General features: G+C 43.1%; 1 long non-coding RNA gene across 2 annotated transcripts in view; it reads right to left on the reverse strand.

Moving 5' to 3' along the window:
• Positions 1 to 20278: 20278 nt before the first annotated feature.
• The window catches only part of LOC105378543 (uncharacterized), a 43029-nt gene continuing 36680 nt past the window's right edge, over positions 20279 to 26627 (reverse strand). For both annotated transcript variants that reach the window (XR_007062331.1, XR_946437.3), the window contains exon 3: positions 20279 to 22878. This is a non-coding gene — a long non-coding RNA (uncharacterized LOC105378543). The remainder of the gene's footprint in view (positions 22879 to 26627) is intronic.

The following is a 26627-nucleotide window of genomic DNA, read 5'->3' on the forward strand; positions in this document are numbered from 1 at the left end:
ACTTGGTAACTTAAATAACATGCATTTGGACTATGAGTAGTTTGAAAACTAAGTGACTACAAGTCAGAACCTTTCAATCAGAAGTGAGATCACGTAGGGTTAGGCTGTCTTTAAGACATCAGGGAATAGAATAGCATGAGATCTTTCCTGATTCCAAGGGCATACATGTTATTTTAGAGTTTATTTAGGGATTTCTTAGAACTGGAAGGGCTCTTGGAGTCACCCGGTCTCAATGCCTCTGACATCAGAAGACCACAGCCTACTGGTAGGATATCTTCTCATTACTCATGGTGGCAGACATAGAGGCCAGAAGAGCAGAGCAGCTAGACATCTATGGGGGACACCTTAGAAACGAAGGACCCACAGAAAGGCTGAGATCCAAACTCTGCTGAAACCTCTGAATGATTACTAATGTTTGCACGTGCATACAGACCCCAAAAAGCCTAGCCAAAAAACAGGCAGAAACCAGGGGGCAGGGCCCACCTTGAAAGACAGACTGGTCCTGGTGAAATGTGCTGCGTCTTTGAATATGTGTGTTCCAGACCTACTCAGAGCTTGGGCAGCAGTAAGCAGAAGCCTAACTGGCCTGAGGCATCAGAGGGAAGAACTTGAACTTAGCAGGGCAACTGGAAGTTTAGAGGACCACAAAGACGAGTCCCAGAATCTGAATGCAAACTGTGTCTAATTGCTGATGCCTGGGCTATGCAAGCGTATTCTTCAAACACTTGGCAGGTGGGTGCAAGGGCACTAGGCACTGTTGTAGTTCATGAACTGTCATTAATTTACTGTCTCACCTTGTCGATGGGGCAGGCAGCAGCCAGGTCTGCAGCTCCTTCAGCTCCTGCCAGGTCCCCTTCAGCTTCTCTGATGTCTGAGCCAGTTTATGTCTAAATGCAGAAGCAACAAACAGACATAAACTGTTTAACCATCTCCCATAATTACATAAGGTCAAATCCCAATTAAATTGCATATTCTGTATCATGTAGTGGTTCTTGCTGTTGCTGTTGTTTTTAAATCACACTCTGACCAATATACCATTCAAACAGTTGGCATAAGAAAGCTGGAGTGACTATAGTAATGTCAGATGAAATAAACATTAAGTCAAAGAGAATTGCTAGAGACCAAGATGGATAATTCATAATGGCAATGGGGTTATATTGTAGGAAGATAAATCAGTTATAAATGTAGGTCTGTGTAATAACAGGGTTGCAAAATACGTGAACAAAATGGACAAAACTAAAAGGATAAATAGAAAAAATCTACAATTATAGTTGGAAATTTCAATACTCATATTTCATTATTGATTTCAAAAAATCAGTAAATATATGGAAGATTTGATCAACACTATCAACCAGTTGGACTTAGTTGAGATTTGTTCCATCCAATAAGAGCAGAAAACACATTATTTTCAATGACACATGGAACATTAAAATAAACCATATGCTGGGCCATTAAACAAGTCTCAGTACATTTTAAAAGATTGAAACAATACATGTGTTCTCTGACCACAACAGAATTAAACTAGCAATCAGCAATAGACTGTATCTCTGGAATGTCTCCAAGTATGTGGAAATTAAACAAACACTTCTAAATAACATATAGGTAAAGAAAGAAATTTCAGAAGAAAGTAGAACTTCTTTTTCAATTGAATAAAAATGAAAACACAATTTCTCACAATTTATGACAGGCAGCTAAAGAAGCGCTTAGAGGGAAATGAATAGCCATAAATGCTTGTATTAGAAAAGAAAAAAGTTCTCAAATCAATAATCTGAGTTTCCATCTTTAAAAGCTAGAAATAGAAGAGCAAATTAAACCCAAAGTAAATAGAAAAGAGATAATAAAAAGTAAAATTCAGTGAAATAGAAAACAAAAATCGTAGAGAAAATAACTGAAACCAAAAGGCTTTTCTTTGAAAAGTCAATAAATTCAATAAAGTTCTACCTAGAAAGACAGAAAGCAGAATGTGCCAATATTATGAATGAGAGAAGAGACAGGAATACAACAATTCTACAGGCATTAGGGAAACAATTAGGAGTTATTATGAAAAACTCAGTGCAATGCACGTGATAACTTAGACAAAATATACAAATTTGTTTTTTGGAGTGCAGTGGTGTGATCTCAGCTCACTGCAACCTCCAACTCCTGGGCTCAAGCAATTCTCCCACCTCAGCCTCCCGAGTAGCTGGGATTACAAGCGCGCACCAGCACATCTGTCTAATTTAGTTGTATTTTTAGTAGAGACAGAGTTTCACCATGTTGGCCAGGCTGGTCTCAAACTCCTGACCTCAAGTGATCTGCCCCCTTCGGCCTCCCGAATTGTGGGATTACAGGCATGAGCCACCACATCCAGCCTACAAGTTTCTTGAAAGACAATGTTATCAAAATAAACTCATTAAGAAATAAAAATATCAATAGTCCTATATTAATATAAAAATGAATTCTCAATTAAAAATCATTACTGCAATGAAAATTCTAGATATTAATGACTTCAGTGATGACTTGTATCAAATATTTAAGAAAGAAATAATACCAATTCTATAGAAAATTTTTCAGAAAATAGAGAAAGAGGAAACATTCCCAACTTACTTTATGAGTCCAGTAGCACTCTAATATCAATGCCAAATGAAGACATCAGGAGAGAAAAAGGAATCTATGAACCAATATCATGCATGAACACAAGCAAAAATCCTTAACAAAATATAGATGACCCTTGAACAACATGGGTTTGAACTGTACAGGTCCACTTAACCTGTGAATTTTCTTTTGCCTCTGCCACCCCTGAGTCAGCAAGAACAACCCCTTCTCTATTTTCTCCTCCTCAGCCCACTCAACATAGAAATTATAAGGATGAAGACCTTTATGATGAGCTACTTCCATTTAATGAATAGTAAATATATTTTCTTTGTTATGTTATCTGAATAACATTTTATTTTGTCTGGCTTATCTATAACATACAAAATACAGGTTAATTGACTATGTTATAGTAAGGCTTCTGGTCAAGAGTAGGCTATTGAGTTTTGGAGGAGTCAAAAGTTATATGCAAGTTTTTTACTGCCTGGGGGTCAGCACCCCTAAGCTCTGCATTGTTTAGGGGTAAACAGTATTATAAAATCAAATACAGTATAAGAAAATGCATATACCAGGAATGCAAGGTTGGTTTATTGTTAGAAAATTAATCACTAAAAATTACAATATTAATGGAATAAGGAGAAAACCATATGGTTATATCAACAGAAGCAGAAAAGGCAGATAAAACTTGTTCCTGAAAACTCTCTGCAAACTAGAGGTAAAATAGTGAACATTTTCCTCTCTAGGATTAGAAATAGGTCAAGAATGTCCACTCTCACCAATTCAGCTTTGTACTAGAAATACTAAAGTTTGCAACAGATAACAAAAAAGTCATACAGGTTAGAAAGGAAGACATAAAACTGTCTTTATTCTCAGAAAGCATGGTTATATACACAAAAATCTTGAGGAATCTCCATAAAGCACTAGAACTAATCAATGAGTTTAGCAAGATCCCAAAATACAAGGTTAGTATACAAAAGTCAATGACATTTGTATGTACTGGCAATGAACAACTGAAAAATGTAATTTTAAAATACCATTTATAGAAACATCAAAAATATGAAGTATTAACAAAATATGTACAAGACCTGGACACTACAAAATATTGAAAAGTTTTAAAATATAATGAAAAGAAGAGCTGTAACATGCATAGGGACTGGAAGATTCAATATTGTGAAGATACTAAGTTTTCCTAAAATTGATCTCTAGATTCAAGGTAATTCTGATCAAACTCTCAACAGGCCTTTTTTATAGAAATTGACAAGCTGATTCTGAAATTTATATGAAAATTCAAAGGACCTAGATTGGCCAAAACAATTTTTTAAATAAGAACAAAGTTGGAGGACTCAAACTACTGGATCCAAGGCCTACTACTATAGAGTCGCAGTAATAAAATAGTGTGATGTTGGCATAAGGATAGACATATAGACCAAGATTCATTTATATGGTTAATTGTTTTCCATAAAGGGACCAAGGTAACTCAACGTGAAATTTTGGGGTTTTTTTTTTTGACAGAGTCTTACTCTGTTGCCCAGGCTGGAGTGCAGTGGCATGATCTCAGCTCACTGCAACCTCTGCCTCCTGGGTTCAAGTGATTCTGCTGCCTCAGACTCCTGAGTAGCTGGGATTACAGAAGTGTACCACCACAAATGGCTTTTTTTTTTTTTTAAATTTTAAGTAGAGATGGGGTTTCAACATGTAGGCCAGACTGGTCTCGAACTCCTGATGTCAGGCGATCTGCCCACCTTGGCCTCCCAAAGTCCTGGGATTACAGGTGTGAGCCACAGTCCCCAGCCTGAAATTTTGGTCTTTTGAATAACTGGTACTGGAACAATTCATTAGCCATATAGAAAAAATGAACTCTAACCCTTACCTCCCACCATACATAAAAATTAATTTATAATAGATTGTAGACTTAACTGTATGAGCTTAAAACTAGAAAACTTCTGTATGTCAGCATGAGAGGAAAACTTTTTGACCATCAGCTAAAAAAGATTTCTTAGAACACAAAAAAATGAAAAACTTCTGCTCTTCAACAGAGTTATGAAAATGAATAGGTGAGCCACAGTCTGAGAGAATACATATATTTACAAAACACATATCTGACAAAGAGCTGGTGTCCAGGATATAGAAAGAACTCTTACAACTACACAAGCCAAAATTAAGACAACCCATTTTTTTAAAAAAGAGCAAAAGGTTTGAACAGACACTTCACAAAAGGAGATCTACAAATGACCAAGAAGCAAATGAGAAAATGTTCACAGAAACAAATCAGAACCTTAGTGAGAGGCCATTAATCAACCATTTGAGCATCAAAACAACACACTGATGATATCAACTAGTATTGGTGGGGATAGAGCAAGTGGAACTCTAATATATTGCTGGTGAAAATACAAAATGGTACAGCCACTTTGTAAACCAGTTTGAGAGTTTTACTGAAGTTAAACATATACTTTCCATATGAGTTTAACAATACTCTTTCTAGGTATCTACCTAAGAGAAATGAAATATGTCTACACAAAGATTTGTACATGAATGTTCACAGCAGCATTCTTCATAATAGCCCAAAACTAGAAACGACCCAAGTGTCTATCATAGGGTTAAGGGATAAACACATTGTGGTTTATCCATTTGGTGTGGAATATTACTCAGTAATGAAAAGGGACAACTTATGGATACAGAAAACAACACGGATAAATCTCAAAAACATCATGCTAAATGAAAGAAGACAGGCACAGAAGATTGCATGATGAGTATTCCATTTATGAGATTCTAGGAAAGGCAAACTATAGTGACAAAAGTAGGTGGCCAGGGGCCAGGGTTAGGGGAGAGGATAGGCTGCATCAGAGCATGAGAGGACTTTGGAGTGATGAAGTGTTCTACGTCAGAATTGGGTGGAGCTTATACAACTGTGTACCTGTGCCCAACTCACAGAACCTAAGATGGGTGAATTTTATTGCATACAAATTATACCTCTATTGTGCCTCCCAAAGTCAAGAATAATTTCTGGACAAATAAGGACTTAGGCAGGATATTTACAAAAAAATTATTCATTCTTCCTTGCTGTATATACACAGCCTGGAAAGGGATAGGTAGATTTTTGCTTAAGATCAGAAGACGTGGGTCAGATTCTGTTAATCCCACCATGACTTTGGGATGTCAGAGGGGGTTTTCCCCAGGATCTCCCATAATCATGTGTAGCAGTGGTGACTGCTCTTTCCTTTCTCCTACCAACAGCTACAACCCTTATAAACCGTGGCTTAGATTGGATTGTTTGTAACACAAAGGATCAATGCCTGGGGGGAAGGATACCCCATTCTCCATGATGTGATGATTTCTCATTGTATACCTGTATCAAAACACCTCATGTGCCCCATAAATATACACACCTACTATGTACCCACAAATCTTCAAAATTAAAAAATAAATAAACCATGGGGGCTTAGAATGAGTTGTATACCTGCATCTTTTCCTTGCTGTCTAGCATGACACCTTCAGGCAGGACCAACCCAATGAGACTATTTTATTTTAACAGTGTACAGCGGGACATTTGAACTTCCTGTGGTACCCAGTTCCCTTTCCATCCATCATCATCATCTACAAGTTCCTCCTTATCTAATCCAAATTCCTAATGCTTCCATCTTCTCTCATCCTCTTCTCTTTTACTTCCCACAGGGTCAATGAAGCAAAGCTCATAACCATCTGTAAAACAACCTTTTCTACCCTTGAGGAGAATCATTAAATCATACTCCATTCTTGCACACTGAGATAAATAAATACTCTTCATGTTTGTGAGTTTCCTACTTCCTTATATTTCTCCCCAGAGACAGGCTCCCGGGGCCTCTGGATGGGAGCACACTATAGGAAAAGGCATTGTTTGCCAGGAGCTTAAAATCTGGTGTTCTAGAAAGTGGGAAATAGGTTCAACTTATGCTTCTACTACTTACTCATTGATAATCCTGGGGCAAGTGGCCTCCGAGTCTCAGTCTCTCTATCTGATTATTGGGTGTTCTATATTTACAAGAAGTGCTGACGATGAGCAGATGCTCACTAATTCCCTCCCCAACCCCTGCTCCCCAATCCAGAAACCTGCTGACTCTGCTTATCCCTTGGAAAGTGTCCCTTGGAGAATGCTATGATGGAATTCTACTTATCTGGATGATTAAGGTATTGCTTAGACACCGTATTTTTGAAAATTAATGATGCAAGATAATAATACCTAGTATTGATATAGTCTTTGGTCTGTTATCTTAATTATGCTTTATGAAGCTACTATAAAACTGTTAAGTAAGATTACTGAAAATTAATTAATATTTATCACACTCCTGGAAGCAAAGTAGAGCCCTTATAAATCAGGTATGGCGAACTAAAGAAAATTCTTCCTGAATTTGCAGGATCCAGTGGCACTGAGGCTAAATTAACCCTCAGTTCTAGCCAATACTGCTGAAATCAGCAGGGATCCTCAAATGAGAAACCTGGCAAGAACTAAGGACTAAGAAGAAATAACTCAGAATTCACTCAGGACCCGTAATCCATTGGAAAGTACAGTACTTCAGAAAATGCCTACAAAATGACAGTAACTGTCCTTTTCCCTTTTATTTCCCTTTCTTTTAGCTTTGTCACCGGCTTCCTAATTTGTTGGCTGCCCGTTAGTACAAGCCCATTCTTTCAGGGGAAAGGAGAGGAGAGGGTGGTCAGTGGCAAGGAGGGAATGACAGATGGGAAAAATGCTGGACTCAGAGTAGCTCTGACTTAGCAAACTTTCATGTTGTGCTGCAGCCATGCTCTGTTTGCCTGTCCCTGTTTTAAACTGGGTGGCCTGGTGGTATCTGTAATCTGGTGACTTAATAAATGAACAGAGACTTCTCAAAAGAAGACATACACATGGCCAACAAGCACATGAAAAAATGCTCAATATCACTAATTATTAGAGAAATGCAAATCAAAACCACCATGAGATACTACCTCACACCTGTCAGAATGGCTATTACTAAAAAGTCAGAAAATAACAGATGTTGACGAGGTTGCAGAGAAAAGGGAATGCTTATACGCTCCTGGTGGGAATGAAAATTAGTTCAGCCACTGTGGAAAGTGATTTGGAGATTTCTCAAAGAACTTAGAATTATCATTTGACCCAGCAATCCCATTCCTGGGTATATACCCAAAGGAATATAAATCATTCTGCAAAAAAGACACATGCACTTATATATTCATCACAGCGCTATTCACAATAGCAAAGACATGGAATCAGCCTAGATGGGCATCAACGGTGGACTGGATAAAGAAAATGTGGCACATATATGCCATGGAATACTATGCAGCCATAAAAAAGAATAAAATCCTGGCTGTCCTTTGCAGCAACATGGATGCAGCTGGAGGCCATTATCCTAAACAAATTTACACAAGAGTAGAAAACCAAATACTGCATGTTCTCACTTACAAGTGAGAGCTAATCACTAAGTACGCATGGACACAAAGTGGGGAACAATAGACATCAGGGACTACTTGAGGGTGGAGTGTGGGAGGAGAGTAAGGTCAAAAAACTCCCTATTGGGGCTGGACGCGGTGGCTCACGCCTGTAATCCCAGCACTTTGGGCGGCCGAGGCTGGTGGATCACCGAAAATCAGGAGTTCAAAACTAGCCTGGCCAACATGGTGAAACCCTGTCTCTACTAAAAATACAAAAATTAGCCGGGTGTGGTGGTGGGCACCTGTAGTCTCAGCTACTCAGGAGGCCGAGGCATAAGAATCGCTTGCATCCAGGAAGCAGAGGTTGCAGTGAGCTGAGATCGTGCCACTGCACTCCCCTGAGAGACAGAGCAAGACTCCATCTCAAAAAAAAAAAAAAAAAAAGAAAAGAAAAAGAAAAAATAACTACCTATCGGGTACTATGCTCACTACCTCAGTGACAAAATCATTTGTACACAAAACACCTATGACATGCAATTTACTCACGTAACAAACCTGCACACACACCTTTGAACCTAGAATAAAAGTTGAAAAAGGAAAGAAAAATTGTTTAGTGTGATCATTGTATTGGGCTACTTTTTTTTAAAAGTCCTTATTTTTTAGAGATACATGTGGACATTCATATATGTGAAACCATATGATATCTGGAATTTTATTTTAAAGACTCCAGAAAAGATAAGCAGAATTAAAATTAATGAAAGGAGACTAGACGAAAGAATGACAGAGTGCTAATAATGGCAGATGCTAGAAGATGGCTATGAGAGGGTTTATGACACTGTTCTCCCTGCTTCTGTGTATGTTTGAAAATTTTCACAATAAAAAGTAAAATAAAAAAATAAATGAGTAATCATAGTTGGTGTCTGTACATGCTTTAATTGACACTATCTTATAGAGATGGCTTTGATGAAGCATAAATATGCTTTACACATGGCCTCTCCCATACGCATCATCGCAGATGTTCTATTTGAGTTTATTTCAGAACTGGCTTACATGTGATTCTCTAATGGAATATCTTGACCAATTCAGGGAGAGAGAGGTGGGTTACTACTTTATATCTAAAAGCCTACCCTAGGCCCTGAATAGGTGCATTGTGTGTGTGTGTGTGGGGGGGTGGGGGTTGGGGGGTGTACTCACGTGCACACATAAGTCATATGTAAATATTTACATAGTACCATATGTACAAACCATATTTCTAGGGTTTGTTTAGAGGTTGGGACTTAATGACAGTGTGTTGTAGGGGAAGGAATCTGACAGTCAGTAGAACAGCCATGAGGGTGAATCTTGGCTATAATGCTTACTAGGTATATCATGTTGGGAAATTATTGTGAACTCTTAAAACCTCAGTTTCCTCGTCTTTAAAATGAGAACAATAACAACAACAATAATAGTCATTCCATCTATCTCTCCAGTCTCACACTTTATTGCGTCTTGCAAGTACACAAACCGTGTATTTGAAAGTACTTTGTAAACTGAAACACTGCCCAAGGCTAGCTATTTCTTCTAGATTTTCTGGTAACATGAATTATCCAGATTCTCAGACTGAAATTGAATGTAACACAGTCTAAATTAAAAAAATTATTTAATGATTTTAAAAGACATAAATTCCACGCTTTCCCACAATGAGTTAGCACTTCACACCATTAGCATGGCTATTATCAAAACACCCCAGCCGGCAAGGTTGCTCACGCCTGTAATCTCAACACTTTGGGAGGCTGCAGTGGAAGGATCACTTGAGCCCAGGAGTTTAAGACCAGCCTGGACAACATGGCGAAATCCTGTCTCTACAAAAACCAAAAAAAAATTAGCCAAGCGGGGTGGTGCACACTTATAGCCCTACTACTCAGGAAACTGAGGCAGGAGGATTGTTTCAACCCAGGAGGTTGAGGCTGCAGTGAGCCATGATCATGCTACTGCACTCCAGCCTGGACAACAGAGTGAGACACTGTCTTAAAAACAAAACAAAACAAAAAACAGCAACAACAACAAAAACCAGGGCCAGGCACAGTGGCTCATGCCTATAGTCCCAGCACTTTGGGAGGCCAAGGTAAGGGGATCACTTGAGCCCAGGAGTTCGAGACCAGCCTGGGTAACATGGTAAAATCTTGTCCCTACAAAAAATACAAAAATTAGCCGGGCATGGTGGTGCGCACCTGCAGTCCCAGCTACTCCAGAGGCTGAGGTGGGAGGATTGCTTGAGCTCAGGAGGCCGAGGCTGCAGTGAGCCATGATCATGCCACTGCACTCCAGCATGAGTGTGACAGAGAGAGAGAGACCCTGCCTCAAAACATAAAATAAAACAACAACAACAACAACACAATAACACCCCCAGGAAACAGCAAGGGTTGGCAAGCATGTGCTGAAACCGGGACCCTGTGCATTGCTGTTGGGAATGTCGAACAGTGCAGCTGCAAAGTGGAATAGAGGTTACCAGAGACTAGGGGGAGGGGAAGGGACAGATGCTTTTTGATGTGTCAGAGTTTCTGTTTGGGATGATGACAAATTCTGGAGATGGATACTGGCGCTGGCTGCAAAACAATGTGAATGTACTTAATGACACTGAACGGTGCACATAAAAATGCTTTAAATGGAATATATTTCAAATGTTTTACTAGAATAAAAAAAAAAAATTCCAAGCTTTTTTTCCTGTCCTAGCTACTTTGAAGCTACTGTCTTTTAAATATCAAATTTCAAAGTCACCCAGCTCAAAAGGCACAGTAGAAAACTGGTTGACAAACTCACTTTGGAGCGGAAGAATCCAGGTTCTCGTCTTACTGGCAGTGTGACCTTGGTCGCGTCATCTCCTCCTTTCCCTAAGGAGGGTGTGAAATGCTTTCGCCCAGTGAGTTGCTCAGCTGTGGTCACTCTGACTTTAAAGCTTAACTACGAATTTGAGTTTTCTTATCTATGTCCCCTGCCTAATATGACATACCCACTATTCCATACCTTTTTAGAAAGGGTTGTTTTTATGTTTGGTTTTGTGGGGACGGTGGGAGCTTTCGCACCGTGTTGTGTTGTGTTGTGTTGTCCCTCACTTTGCATGGCATGGTCACACCCTGATTGCGACTAGGGTTCCTTTCACCCTTCACTTTTATTGACTCTTGAAGTTTCTCAGTTAATTGCGTATTTTGCGTGTGCGTCAATCAAAATACAACCCTTCACCTGTGCCATATTTTCAGACAATCCTCAGATCTGTCTGGTTTTCTTCTGAGAAATGTGTAATTCACCGGCCACCCCATGCCATGGTTGTGTTACTCTCCTCTCCTCTCCTACCAGAATGTCCCGTCTGCCTTGACCGGGACCTTCTCCACAACAGATCCCTATTCGCCCTTGGTAAAGGAACATTTTCTCATTTCTTGGTACCTTTTCCTCCATTTCTTCCACTGCCCTGGAACTAAACACCGTTCCAATGCTGTGACTGTGTGCCGTGCACTCAGCCTTTCCTCCCCTTTGCTAGCCAAGCTGTCACTCTGCCTCCACCAGCCTCTGCTCAAGCACTTTCCCCTTACGTATCTAAGTAAGAAGTTGGGAAATTAATGTTTCTGTTTTCTTCTTTTCCTAATGATACTGTAGCATGAAGATCATCTAATTCCAAAGAAAACTTCTGAATTTCGTGATGGTTCTTCTCCACTGTTGGGCAAACTTCACGGTCTTGTCATCATCTTGGCATTTAATCACGTCGGCCTCACTGTCCCGCAAGGTGATTCCAGTCTCTGCCTTGCCTTTCATTGGCTGTGGTCTCTGGCAGCCTTCACAGTGGGGTGAGTTTGAACGTGGTGGTCTGCCACTGTCTAGACAGGGAGGCGGTTCAGCACAGTGGCTCAAAATGCGTCTCCAAGCCCTATGTGCATGTTGGACACTACGTCGACCTCTTGCCAGAGGGTCATTAGCTCTGTGAACTTGGGCAGGTAACTCAACTTTCATGTTTCCTGGTCTGTAACATGAAGGGTCTTTACAGTGTCTAACTCACTGCAGGAACTGCCACGCTAATGTACTGTGGCACTTACCACATGTGGACATCATTCAGGGTCTGGACTATGAGGTTCACCTGGGCAGGACCTTGCCTTCCCTGCCTTGTCACCGCCGTGTCACTGGGCCCAGCACCCTGGCTGGTGGTTAAAGTCATGTATGAATGGAAGCAGGCCGGAGGATCAGGACAGAGGATGCTTTATGTTACCCCGCGTGCCCTGGGAGATGCCAGCACCAACTCTCAGGTCTTCTCCGTATGACCACTCTCCTCCCTGTGGCTGGCTGGGCTCCTCACCCTTGTGCCCATACTAGAACATAGACACCCTCCCTTTCCAACCTCCTCCTTTTGGTCCAGGCACATTCTTCATAGTCAGAGACTTCTCACATTTCTTCTCAACTTGGATGCCCTCATACTTTTCTCTTGCCTCATACGGAAAAAAACGCGCCTTGTTCTGCCTAAACTCCACCCCCGTCCCCTGTCCAGGCTCACAAAGTACTTAACTTTCCTTTCACCTTTTCTATACCCCTCGGCCTCTCTCCAGGAAAGGCAATCTGTGATCTGCCTGCCTTTGCTTACATTTTTTGGGAACCACGTCAGCCTTTCCAATGAAAGCTCAGTGCATTGTTATAATCTGATATTAATAACACTGGGCTACCAGTCTTGGAGGGAAGCATTTTCCCATTTAAAAACATGTCTTAGCTGCTGCCTTTCCTGATGTACTGGAGTGCAGGTTCTTGTCCCAGGCAGCCTGGGTTTGAATCCACCTCTTCTACTTCCTAGCTGGGTAACCATGGGTAAGTTACTTAACCTCTCTGTGCCTCATCTGTACAATGGGGATAATAAAAGCTTCAACATCTCACAGAGTTGTCCTGAGGATTAAATGACACGATGCTTGCAAAAAGCTTAGCGCTTTGAAAGTACTAATGTTTCTGATACATATGTTTGTTATCATCCCACTTACAAGTGGCCATCCTTTCCATGTTTTCTTGTTTCTGCCTTTCGCTTGGCCGAGTCGCCTGGAAATCCCAAGGAGGAGTTGTCTGGGGTAGAGCTCCCTTCCCGCTCCTGCCCTGGTCTTGTCCACATTCCTCCTCCCCATCCCGCCATTGCTGCCCTGGTGTCTCTTAGCTGCCCTGCTGTCTCTTAGGTGCTAGACACACTGGGTGACTGGGAGTTAGGAAACACCTGCTCCAGCATCAATGGGAGGTGAGGCAATTCCATTAAAATGCACACTTCTTGTTTCTGTACCTCCAACAACTACTACTTTCAGTTTCTCCACAAACACTTACTGCTTGTTTCCCATGGGTCTGGCACAGGGCAGGCGCTGGTGAGGCAGACCCTCTCCTGACCCTTGGCAGTGGGTGGTAGGGGCAGATACATAAACAGGGCCTCAGAGACCAATATGGGAGAGCAATGGCAGGGCCATGTGCAAGGGGCAGGCACGTGACCACCCTGGGCAGAGGAGGGGTAGCAGTGGCCACTGAGGACCCTGAAGGAAGCAGTGCCAAGGCAGATTCAGAGATGAGGAGGGTGGGCCGGACAGGGGAGTGGGGTGGCACATTCCAGGCAGAGGGGACAACTCGAGCTAAAGAATTCTCCGTATGAGGCAAGAGAAAAGTGTGAGGGCATCCAGGTTGGGAAGAAATGAGAGAAGTCTCTGACTATGAAGAATGTGCCCAATCCGAAGGGAGGAGGTTGGAAAGGGAGGGTGTCTGTGTTCTAGTGTGGGCACAAGGGTGAGGAGGCCAGCCAGGCACAAGAAGGAGAGTGGCCATAGGGAGAAGGCCTGAGAGTTGCTGCTGGAATCTCCCGGGGCATGTTGGGTAACGTAAAGCATCCTCAGGCTGGAAACGATCTGAGGTGAGCCAGAATGAAAAGCAGTTGAGCATTATTGGAGAGTAATGGGACGAGTGCAGAATGGCGCGAGGCAGACAGAAGTCGATCAAATACCAGCTTTATTGTGGACGAAAACCTGCTAGAGAACATAGCTTGACCCTCAGCCAATAGCCCCAAAGAAAACTTACCTCCCCACGCTGCAGGCCTCTTCCTTGGGGATGGCACCTTCCTTGGGAGAGAAACCTGCCTCAGTGAGTGCCCTTCCGTCCTTCCCTGTGTGTGGGTAGCACAGAGCTCAATCCTGCCCCCTGCCATCCAGCGTGTGGCTATTTAGACACTGGGAATTCTCGCCTGCTGTTTTCAACCCTGGCTACCAGAATCTTGGCTGCAGCAGCCCACCGCTGTGTAGTAGGCGGATGTGGATAACGCTAGTTGGACTAACTTAAGATTCAGAATGGCATGAAGAAAACCAAAGGATGCATTGAGGTATCTTCAAGGCATCTCAGACTCATGACCCTTCGCTGTGACCAGGTCCCCTTTCCACATGGCCTGTGTCAGTAAATTGGTGCACCAGCCACCCATCTGCACAAGCAAAGAACTTCAGAGCCATCCTTGACATTTCCGCTCCCATCCATCCACTACCAAGGTCTGCCCATCCAGCCCCTAAATGTCTCCCCAGTCCATCTACATCTTCCTGCCAACCCCAAATCCAAGCTGCCATCATCCACCATTTCATTCTTGGACTCCTAAGAAAACCTCCCAACTAGGCTGCCCACCTCCAATCTTGAACTCTCTCAACCCATTCTCCAGCCAAAGCCTGGGGGATTGTTTTCAAAATGGAAATCTGATCACATCTCCATCCACAACCTGTCCCTTCTCTGGCTTCCCACGGTGTTTAGGATAAAGATCTGAATGCTCACCAGGACTGGTGGGCCTTGTGTGATTCTCCCCTCTCCACCTCCCCACAGCCACTGGGTCCCACCCAGCCTTCCCTACCCCTCACGCTCCCCGGACTCTTCCTAGGTCTTTGCACATCTTCTACCTGGGATGTTCTGCGCGCACTTCAGGCCTCTGAAGCATCCTCCAGAACTTAGCTCACATGAAATCCCCTCAGGGCAGCCTTCCCTGCCCTCAAGCCTAGGTAGAGTTCTGGGTTAGAAGTTCTTAGAGCTCCCTATTCCTTTCGAGCCCTTACCACGGTTTGTTGCCCTTTAGTTTCTGCAATCATTCTCTTTTTCACAAGACCACGGGTTCCCTGAGGAGTGTTTTGGCTCACTCTTATCTCTCCATGGCCTATGATAGTAGTGGAAATGCAATATAAATTAATGAATTCTTACATTATTAATTTAGAAGCCATCAGCAGAGTCCTACCAATGGGCTTCTTCGGTGTGGAATTGTATGCCAAATTCCTATAAAAATTTAAAGTTTTTTTTTACTAAAATTTGGGGAGAAACGTCATAATGAGAGGCACGGGGGGCTACATTTTGCATATATTTGCAGAAGTGGAGATATATGTAAAGTGACATTCTCTGGAAAAACTCCCAGACTATTAATATTAACCCAAGGTCAATACTAAAAGCCAGTTCCTCAGGGAGTTGTACTGAACTGTAAAGAAATGCACCAGGGTGTGACATGGCATCAGAGATGCTGAGCTTTTCATGACTTTGGGAGAGGGAACAGCAACTTCGCAAGCAGGAAAGAGTAAGACAGACAATGTGTTTTCAGCAACTGCCCTAGCAAATTCATTTTCGGTTATAAGATGGTGCAATACCGACATGGAATTCATCATATCTGTCATTAGGGTGCTAATGAGAGAACATCACACACATATCACCTGAGAGCTGCAATAGAAAGAATCACTGTATCACTGGAAGAAGCTAGAAGTGGAGTAATCAATATCAACAAAATCTATTGTTCCCAGGTTGCAAAATTGAGGGATTATTTCTACTGCAAGTCAGAATGAAACCTGTTTGCATTTGTCAGCAAAATGATCACATTTTACACCATTAACATTTGGCAAGACAGAGCACCATCCATTAGCTAATCTGCAGATGCACCAACCACAGATTCAGGAAACCAAAGAGCAGCACAGAGCTGTCTTGCCTGCACCAAGCCAAAGCGATGAGCTAAACCTGCCTCTTGGTTACAACTCAGGTAAGGTGGGTGAAACGGAATGGTTCATTAAAACAATTCAGTAGCTGGTGGCTGCTGGAAAAGATGTCACTAGGATGCATTGAATGTCAGGAGGTACTCAGGCAGGGACCGCTGGCACATTAAGATACTCATGGGCTTGCCAGGAAAGGCCTAAGACATAGCAGTAAATAAAATAAACACCCCTCATTAAATTATGGTTCCCAGGATGGCGAACTGGTGTTCACGTGTTTGGCTCTAACGTCCTCTCTTGAGCTCCCAGTGCTGACTGCCGTGCTGGGACCCATGCCATGGAGAGTCAAGGGAGGAGTGGGACCCTGTCCCTTCTTCTCTGTCTTGGCTTTCTCCTAGGGATGTGGCCTGAGTCCTCTAGTTTCAATCCTTGGCAGAATCCAGGAAATGGCTTTCCCAGCATAACCTGTTCTCAACTTCCAGCTCTCCTTCCTGGCTTAAAACTAGTTAGTCTGGGACCAAGAATTCACAGGTACCACCCAACCCCTGGCCACTGGACATTCTCCCCAGAGCAACCAGCCTTCACGAGATGCTGCAAAACAAAACTCGTCTGTATGGGAACAGACGTAGCTCAGCAATAAGCAGCGAAGCCCCGAGAGCCTAGAGGCTGCTCCTAACCACGTGCTGGAGATGATCCGACATATCCACCTATGGTGGCAAGATTAAACTTCAGCAATTGGCCCCCAAATTTGTCTTGATAGGTGGGTTTCTAGAGTTTTATAAATATGAATCCAAGAAAATATTTTAAAGTATAAACACTGTAAGATGTATTCAGAGAGAACCATAATTCAGAATTTGTCCTGGCACATAATAGGTGCTCAAGCATTTATTGAATGAATGAGTGAATGAATGAATGAATGAATCGTGACCCCAAGAACAGACATGCCACCATGGAGTCAAGTGAGGTGCTCCATCTTCATACTCAACGTGTCTTTCTTGGCAGAAATGTGGCAAAGACAAGCCTGCACCAAGGAAATAAATATAGGGCTCTGGGGCCAGAGCTGCCACAAATATTTGTTTTATGCATAAGATTCGCGATTGTGGAAACTGAGAACCAACAACATAAACTTCCCTTCGTCAACCAATGGGACCTTTTAATATGTATTAGTGGACAGCTTACAACAGTGAGAGTGAGGCTAATGCCAAACCAGAACCTTCCACCCCAGAAGACCACACTAATGCGTTCTGTCAGTGCCACAGCAGAGCTACGATGAGCCACCAGAGTGACCTGAGCTCTAGATGATGGCAACGCTATTTGGCGTTTCTGTAATGCTTCGGAAATGTACTCCTAGCCATTATTTCACTTGCACACACAGTATCTCTGGGACGAGAGTGGGGCAGATACCGTCCTATGTTGTAAAGGTGGGAAACTGAAGCTCCGAGAAGCTACACGGTTTGCCTTTGGCAGGCTAGGACACAGGGTGAGTGGGACAGGAGCCCCATACCTGCTGTCAGCTCCATCTAAACCCAGCCGGACATCCAGTTCCGCCACGACACCAAATTTTTCCCACCTCTGGCCACTTGTTTGTGCTGTTCCTTCTGCTTAGAAGGGAGCACTTCCCCACCTTCACCTTCGTCCTCCTGTTCTCTAGGCAGAGCCCTTCCCGCTGTACTTCACATCTCAGCTTAGACAGATGTTTCACAGAGCCCTCCCCAGGTCACCCCATCCAAATATGTCACACTATTCATGTCCTTCTCAGAGCTTTAAACAATGTGCAATTACATATTTATCTCTGCGTGTATTTTTCTGTGTCTGCCCATCTCAGTAGCCTTAAACTGCATGAGGGCAGAGACCTTTTCTGGGGTGTTCCATGCTGTCACCTAGTTCATTGTCCCCATCATCCCCACCCCACTGGGCCTGTGATGAAGCTCTGGCTCTAAGCCCCAAACCCAGCCTTCCGGACTCTGCAAACTCCAGCTCGCCACCGCTAGCTGGTCCCCAGAGGGGGCGCTAGAGAGAGACCGGGCAGGAGGCAGGAGGAGCAAGAAGAGATTTTTCCTTTCCTTTTGCTGGCTCTTCCTGCTGGAGTTTCCCCAGCAATGTTTTTGCTTTTTCCCTAATTGTTTCTAGGGTTTTTTTCTTTTGTTTTGTTTTGTTTTGTTTTGTTTTCTTTTCTTTTCTTTTCTTTTCTTTTCTTCTCTTCTCTTCTCTTTCCGTTTCTCTTCTCTTCTTTTCTTTTCACATTTCTAGAAGTTCTCATTGTGCTCCCTCAGGGCTCAGAGGTCTGAGTCTCTTCTCTGTGGGGTCTCTCCTCCAAGGGTCCAGGTTATATAATATAATAACAATATAGTATAGTAGAGAATGAAAACGGTATGCGCACAACACAACAATAAGGTGATATAGAATCATCTCGATGTTTCCCAACCCTGGCTGGATGGCGGCTGCTTCCTGGCAGTTATGTTCCTTAACTTATTCTGTTCCCCAATGTTTGTTTAAGCAGTTTCTTGCATTAGATTCTTTCTATTAAAAAAAAATGGTTCTGTTTCCCCAACAGGACCCCTGCTGATACAATCACCGTATCCACTGTGGTCATGGTTAACACTGACTATTTATTAAACTCCACTCCAAGTGTTTCACATGAATTCATCTAACTCTCCCAACCCTGTGAGGCAGGTACAACTATTACCCTCAAAAGAAATGAAGGAACAGAGAGATTCAGTAAGTTGCCTAAGACTTCACAGCTACTGAATAGCAAAGCCGGGACACTTCTGAATGAATCCATGTGTCACCCAATGGAGGAAGGAGCCCTTTTGCGCGGCCTAGAAGCTGCGTGGACAAGTGTGAGGCACAGCGGTGTGCCAGGGCCTTTCCCTGAGTCCTTTTCAAGGGCTTAGAAGCTCTTTAGTGTGCTTGGGTCTCCAATCTGGAGATTTCTCAGGGCACTCTTTGGCTCCTTCTCAGAGGTGCACTTTTCCCTGCATCTCATCACAGCCTCTATCTTCAGCCCATGGGTTCATCACCCAGCACGAGAAGGGGATGAAGGTCTGGGAGGACCACAGGCCGTGGCCTGGGAAGGCCTCAGGCTGACACCACGGTGATGTGGGCGTCCATCCCAAAACTCCCCATGCTGCTTTCTTTGGCTTCACAAGACCCCGAGGAGCCACCAGGAAAGATGCTTACTGGGGATGTGATTTAGAGAGACGAAGCTTCAACACGTTGGCGAATGCCTAACCCTTAAGTGGAGCTATGATTTTGGAGGAACGATTATTAGAACTGACTTGAGGTGCTCTGTCTGAGGGTGCTCTGGAATCGAAGAGGCTTTCCTCTACTCTGCAAGATAATGACTTCAGTTCACTCACATGGATGTTTAATTTTATAACATTGCTATTGGGCCCAGAAAAAAACTCCCTCCAGAGCCTATTATTAACATCCCAAAAATGGAAAGCATAATCTCAGAACAAAGAGCTAGAATAATATTTTGCCAGGGTTTTATTTTTGCATTGTGAGGGAACTCTATGCCATTATTCACTTTTTTTCTTTTTTTGCCTTTTCATTTGGAGTTGAGTGCACTAGAACGAAAATGCCTCAGCCACAAAGGCAACTAGCCTGCACGAGGGGGAAGAGAGTGGGAGGCTTCATTCCGTCACAACCTTGAGTTCAGTGATTATGCCCTTGGTAAAGAGGGGATGTCGGACACCTGCAGAGGTGAGGCCTGTCTCCAAGGAGACCCCTGCCTCCTGCACCTTGCCTAGTTGCTCCTGTGTGGTTTGGACCCTGGATTGCCCCCCATCCATTTTACTTCTTGCATCTGCAAGCTCAGAATTGAGCATCTCTCGATTACTCCCTCAGATAATCAGCCCTCTTAACACACTGCATTCTAGGCCATCACTGGGTGAATGCTTTAACCACACCTTCCCATTCTCCGGACCTTCAGGCTGGCAAATGGTTTTGTACTCAGCTTCTCAGCCCTCAGCCTGAGAATGTGGATCAGGCCTATACCTGGGCCTGGATAGCCTGGCTCAAACATCATCCTGAAGATGGAGGAAATGACAGTGGCTTTCCTCTTGCCGAATTCCCTCGTTATCTGCGTTGAATCAGTGCCAGCATAACCCATGCACATTGATTTGCAGATCTTCGTAGATTTGTGCTTGGGCTTCCTATGCCACGTCTTGCTCTGTGAGTGTGAGGGTTTGGTGTTCTCTCCAGAAGCCATGGCCCCTTGGAGCAAGTCAGGGGGACTTGACACATCACTCACCTGAAGCAACCCGGGCCAGGCAGTTGTCTTGAAGCGATTAAATAAAATGTGATTTTACTCATAAGTGATTATAATAAAGTGGTTTATAAAATACATGTATTTATTTACTAGTACAGAAAGTCTCATTTTGAGATTTATTCAGAAACATGTTTTAAAACTATAATCCAGAAATGCAATTTAAATTTTAAACAAATACACTAAACAGTGCAATTTGAACAATGCGATGATGTAGTAATCTGGATGTGGAAGACTTTCCTTGGATGCACAGACCAGGAGAAAGAATAGGGCTGACCCGGCCAGGAGCCAATGCACTAATGCAGATGCTCGTTTTAATTACCCCTTCTACATTCTATGATATGTTAGGTGCTGAGTTAGACAGTCCCCTCCGGAGAACTCGCCTCCCTCCTCGCCAGCCTCCTCTCACCTCCCACTCTCCCCTCCCCACCGCCTCCTCCACACACACTTCAAGCTTTATTTCACCCACTTAATGCACTCTGCTCTGTGCTCAGGTACTTAAAATCTCCCATTACTATCAGTCTGGCTCTTTTACGGCTTTTTTTATTTGCTCTATCATTTCACAGTCCAGTTGTTCTTTTTGGTCAGGTGGACTATAAAATACTCCGATAACAAGTTCACACTAGGAGCCGATGGCGGCCTCAATCTGTAATGACCACAGACCCTTCTGTTACTGGTGTGTCCCAAATCAACACATTCACCATGCTGCCCACCCTGTTCCTACCCCAAGAACAGATTTTCCTTACTCTTCTGATGGCTGCTCCGAGAAGATCTTTCATCCTCACGATTTTTCTTTTAAATAATCAAGCCTTTTTCACCCTTGCTCCTTAATTACCTGCCTTCTCTAAGAGTATTTTAATCTATTGCTATGGATTTAATATTATTTCTCTCTACATTAGCATCCATAAATATGAAATAAAATCAGTCTCTGTGGAAAGTCTTCTTTGGTGTGCTACCTTCCTCTGTATCTTCAGGGTACACCTTTACAGGCTCCGTACCCAGAGGGGAAGGACACTGGCTGAGGGTGTCATCTCTTCAGTCAAACTGCCTGTGGGCTCACCCCATGCTACCACTCAGCTCTTCTGTGACTTTGAGCCTGTCTGAGTCATTTCATCTGTGATATGGGAATAATAACAGTTCCTCCCCACTCCCTCAGGAGTTATCCTGAGGATAAGATGAGATATTGGCTCTTCCTATGTGGGTTAGAGTGGGGTGCTTCTCTCCCTGAGGAGAGGAGAAGATCTCGTACAAAAGCATGGTGACTTTCCCATTCAGCTTGTCCCAATCTCAAGAAAGAATTGCCCAGCCAGAGTTCAAAGCCCACCATTGTTGCTGCCTGCTCTGAGACCAAACCTGCAGGAGCCAAAGCCAGCTGGCCCTGAGCAGTCAGCTTCTGCAGAAGGCAAGGTGGGCATTTGATATGGCTTGGCTTGTCTGTGTCCCCACCCAAATCTCATCTTGAATTGTAGCTCCCATGACTCCCACGTGTTGTGGGAGGGACCCAGTGGAAGATAATTGAATCATGGGGCTGGTTTCCCCCATACTCTTCTTGTGGCAGTGAATAAGTCTCACAAGATCTAATGGTTTTATAAGGGGAAATCCCTTTCACTTGGCCCTCAATCTCTCTCGTTTGCCACCATGTAAGATGTGCCTATTGCCTTCTGCCATGATTGTGAGGCTTCCCCAGCCACATGGAACTGTGAGTCCATTAAACTCTTTTTATTTATAAATTACCCAGTCTTGGGTATGTCTTTATCAGCAGTGTGAGAACAGACTTTAGTCTGCTAAATTGGTAAGCATTGCTTACCAGTTCAGATTGAAGACAACTTTTAGGCTTGCATCAACCCCATAACGATTCAACTTTTCCCTTCACTCTATTGATCCAAATTCTTCAGAGTTTATTTTCCACAAGCATATTCATGGCTTATAATATCATTGATTAGAACTTGGTATCAACTGGGCCAAATTCAAGAGTACTAGCTTTGCTATTTTGAAAAATAATAATTTACTACATATTAACTGTATGCCAGGCTAAGTGCAAGGTGCTCAACAAGTACTGTTAACCCGTAAAGCCCTTTGATATGGGCATAATTTTCACTCACTTTATAGATAAGCAAACTGAGGCTGAGAGAGGCTAAAAGTCTTTAACTTCATGCAGGTAGAAAGTAAGTGGCAGACGGGATGCAAGTCCAGGCTTGCAGGCTGCTACTCTCAGATACTAACCCCCAATCTGCTGTCTGGGAGAGGACTGCGTGTTGCAGGCTCCACCTGGTCCCACGTGGGCTCCAGTAGGCTGGCCCCTCACTTCCCACAGCCTCCTGGGGTCCTGGTGCCCGACCACCTCAGGTCAGAATGCACCAGTGGATTAGGGCAAAGTGTTGACAGGTCCAGAACATCAGCTCCATGGGTGAAGAATGGAGAATTTATTCCCTGCAATCGCTCTTCACATTGAACTCCTCCATGCTGATGACCAGCTGGCGTATAATAAGGCGGTATCTAATGACAGCAGTTCATTCATATCTCATAAATCTTCTTTCACATAAAATTTGAGAACTTTTTCCTCTCAATTTGTCCAGCTAAAAATAATAATCCAAAATTGAAATTCTTCTCTCTTCCATCTTTTTTCTCTCCAAGGTATTTTATCCTCTTCTGAATAGAAAGCACCTTGAAAATAAGATAAATGAATGAATTCGTCTGGAGAACATGAGATCCACTTATTATCCCAGATAACTATATTTATTTATAATGTTATAACGTACCCTCATCCATTTCTAAAGATTATTTCAGATGACTTATAGTAACAAATATACAGGAACCAAATCATTAAGACACAAACAAAAACTTAAAGACCACAGATATGGAGGGGAAAGTATGATATTCAGCCAAGTGAGATCCTCAGGTAAACGCTATGTCCAGCAGAGATTAGTTATCATCGTAGCAATCATTGCATCTGCCAGTTGTTACCACATACTCTGTTCCAGTTGCTTCATAGACACTATTTCATTAAAGCCTCCTGACCCACCTGCAGGTAGGTATTATTGTCCCTGGTTTCAAGATGGAGTAGCAGTCCAGTGATTATGGTAGTTTGCCAAATGCCCCAGCTTCCGCAGGTCCCCAGCAATTCTGTCAGCCTGTGAGATCAGCTTATTCAAGCGACACAAAACTCTATCCCCCAGCCTTCTTGCCCCACCTACATCTCAGGAAGCTTCTTTCTCCAGACTTTGCCTCTTAGACTGTTGGCTCCCGTCCTGCCCCTGTTCTTTGAGGCTAATGCATCCCCTCAGATCCCTTGCTTGTCTTCTCCCCACCCCTCTGGCCTTGCTATTTTCCAGCCCATCACTCTTCCTGGACTAGCCTGATCCAAAGATCCTTTGGCCACAGGGCAGCTCTGCCTCCCACCTCCCGCTCTGAGCAGTGCTACCTCCCAGCACTCAGGCCACCCACCTGTTGGCCCCCATTGGCCTCCACTCAGACCACCCTCCTGTTGGCTCCTGAGTGGGCCTTGATCTACTCCTTAACCCACTGCCTGGCCATCTCCTGCCAAACCATCCTCTTTTCTTCACGGGCACCTGCTCTGCACAGTTGCCCCTGAACGATTTGTTTATTGTAAGGGCCCAATAAATAGTGTATTGAATAGGTAAATCACTAAGTGATAGAAAGATAATGGACAACTGGCAGAAGCCATGGGCACATCAGACACCCAAGATCACAGCCCCGTAAGTGTAGAACCTGTCAGTCAGTCACCAAAGCTTGGGCTCTTGGCACACTGTGACTCCTTGGGTTGTTCTGTGACCACAAACATGCCAGAACACTGAAAATATAGTAGAGTTTCAGGTCACCATCCAGCTTAGATTCCATGAGGATGGCGCCTCCTGGAGTTGTGCAGTGCTACAATCCTGTCCTTCCTCTACCATCTCCACATTTAGCAAAGGCTGCCTAGCAGCAGAAAAATCTAGTCACTGTGATTCCAGAAGGCTGGCTACACCCTAGTGCCTACAACAAGGATGTAACTCGCTAAGGCACTGCCAGCCCATCCTTGATGGAAGGCCATAGTGCTTAGATCAGAACCAAACTTGACTCCCTTCACAAGCTGTGGCAGCTGTCTCTACCCTGGAGAGCAATGATGGAATATTCCATGGGAGTCACACTTGGCTTCCTTATAATGCCCATTCAATAGATTGTTTTGATGGAAACATCACAAATTCATTTTGTGAAAAGCCAATGATATTTGCACCCAGGAATTCAATCATAGGACATGAAACTCTGGGAAAGAAATAATCAAATTGTCCATCCAGAGTGGAGTTAAAATTGTCATAAACATCGATCCTTCATTGCAGGGAATGGAAATAATAAACAGTTGCTGAAATTGCAAAGCTGCAGAGATTTCATTCTCTAATTGTCAAAAAGCATTAAACATCAACTATTTATTTTGCAGCAGAGGAAGCAAAAACAGACTTCAGTGCATCCCTTCACCAGAGGTTGTCCCTAATTGTCATGCATAGATTGCAACAGAGGTTACTGAGAAAAATTGTTTGCATTTATTAATCAAAAGGAGTCAAAGGCACACAAAGATATCATCAGGGCTCCCTTGTGCTAGGGGGAGGCTGACAACTAACATTCCTGATGAAGTGTTTGCAGAGTGTTTGCAATCTGTTCAAAGCCTTTTTCTTTGCAGGTGCAAACCTTTCTATCTGAAACATCAAAGAAACAATTGAAAATTAAACAGAGTAAACATCGCGATACAGGTTTCAATCTTCCATTTTTTAAGACAATGGGAGAGGTATCATTAATTTCAAAGCAATATTTGTGTTCTTTTCAAAACTCATTTGTGCATATTAGCATTTCATTAGTTGTGTATTAAGCGCTGTTGCTCCTTTCCCCCTTTTTTTGCTCCTTTTGTTTTGTAAAAATTAGAAAGTTGAACTACTCCTGAGATGCCTTTTACTCCAAAGCATCCATGCATAGATAATTATCTTGCTCAGCCTGTTTGATCAGTAGAATAAGTCAGAACTGCTCGGGTAAAGTCAGGCAGCAGAAAATAGATTAAGCGAGAAAGAATTCCTTTCTGGTGATGGTAAGATCTTCAGAAGCAAATGCAGCCCCACTAAATTTTGCTAGTGAATAGTGTATTTTAATATACTCATTGTAGGCACTTTTTAATATGTTAATTTTCCTTAATTGCTTCTCTCCATCCCCACTCCATTTAGCTTTAAACTCATCTTTACCCAAGACAAATTAAATAAAAACACAGCCAGCATATGCTATTTTGTGTCACATCTGAATGTTAGAAGCATGTTTTTTATATTTTGTTTATGAAACTGTATCTGGTTTTTGGATATTATATTCAACTGGCCAGATTTCCTGCATTGTCTGAGTTAGACACTAATATCTTTCTCCCTTAAGGTATATTAATTTTATGCATCCTGGACAGGAGATTGACTTTCTCAAGCAGTATACAAGGTCACTCATGTTCATAAAAATATAACCCCTTTTGTGTTCCACAAAATGGCACAATGTAACATGAATTCTGTAGTCAGTAATAGTTTTTTAGCAAATAAGAGTAGTGCTGAATATTCTCACTTATAAGTGGGAGCTAAATGGTGAGAACTCATGGACACATAGAGGGAACAACACAGGCTGGGGCCTTGTGGAGGGTGGAGGGTGGGACGAAGGAGAGGATCAGGAAAAATAACTAATGGGCACTAGGCTTAATATCTGAGTGATGAAATAACCTGTACAACAAACCCCCATGACACAAGTTTACCTATGTAACAAACCTGCACTTGTACCCCTAAACTTAAAATAAAAATTAAAAAAGAATAGGCCAGGTGCAGTGGCTCACACCTGTAATCCTAGCACTTTGGGAGGCCGAGGTGGGTGGATCACTTGAGGTCAGGAATTTGAGACCAGCCTGGCCAATTTGTCAAAACCCCATCTCTACTAAAAATACAAAAAATTAGGTGTGTGGTAGCACGCACCTGTAGTCCCAGCTGCTTGGGAGGCCAAGGCAGGAGAATCACTTGAACCCAGAAGGTAGAGGTTTCAGTGACCCAAGATCACACCACTGCACTCCAGCCTGGGCAACAGAGTCAGACTCTGTCTCAAAAAAAAAAAAAAAAAAAAATTTGTCCATTATTCAAGTATAATATACATAATTATTCTATTGGCATTTAAAATCCTTAATTCGTGTAGCTCCAATGGGTGGGGAATATTTGCTAGAGAAAATCCAGCATAGGAGACCGACTGAACCTTGCCCTGATGATGGGCTGCCTCTGCCCCTCCTCCTGGGAGAGCTGTATTGGATGCTCTCTCTGTGCACAGCAGATGCCACAGGGCAGGTTGTGACCCACCATCTATCTGATCTGATCAATGCCAACTCCACAAGTATTTATTGAGTGCCCACTCTGTGTCCA

This window comes from Homo sapiens, chromosome 10, assembly GCF_000001405.40.
Source record: "Homo sapiens chromosome 10, GRCh38.p14 Primary Assembly".
NCBI classification, from domain to species: domain Eukaryota; kingdom Metazoa; phylum Chordata; class Mammalia; order Primates; family Hominidae; genus Homo; species Homo sapiens.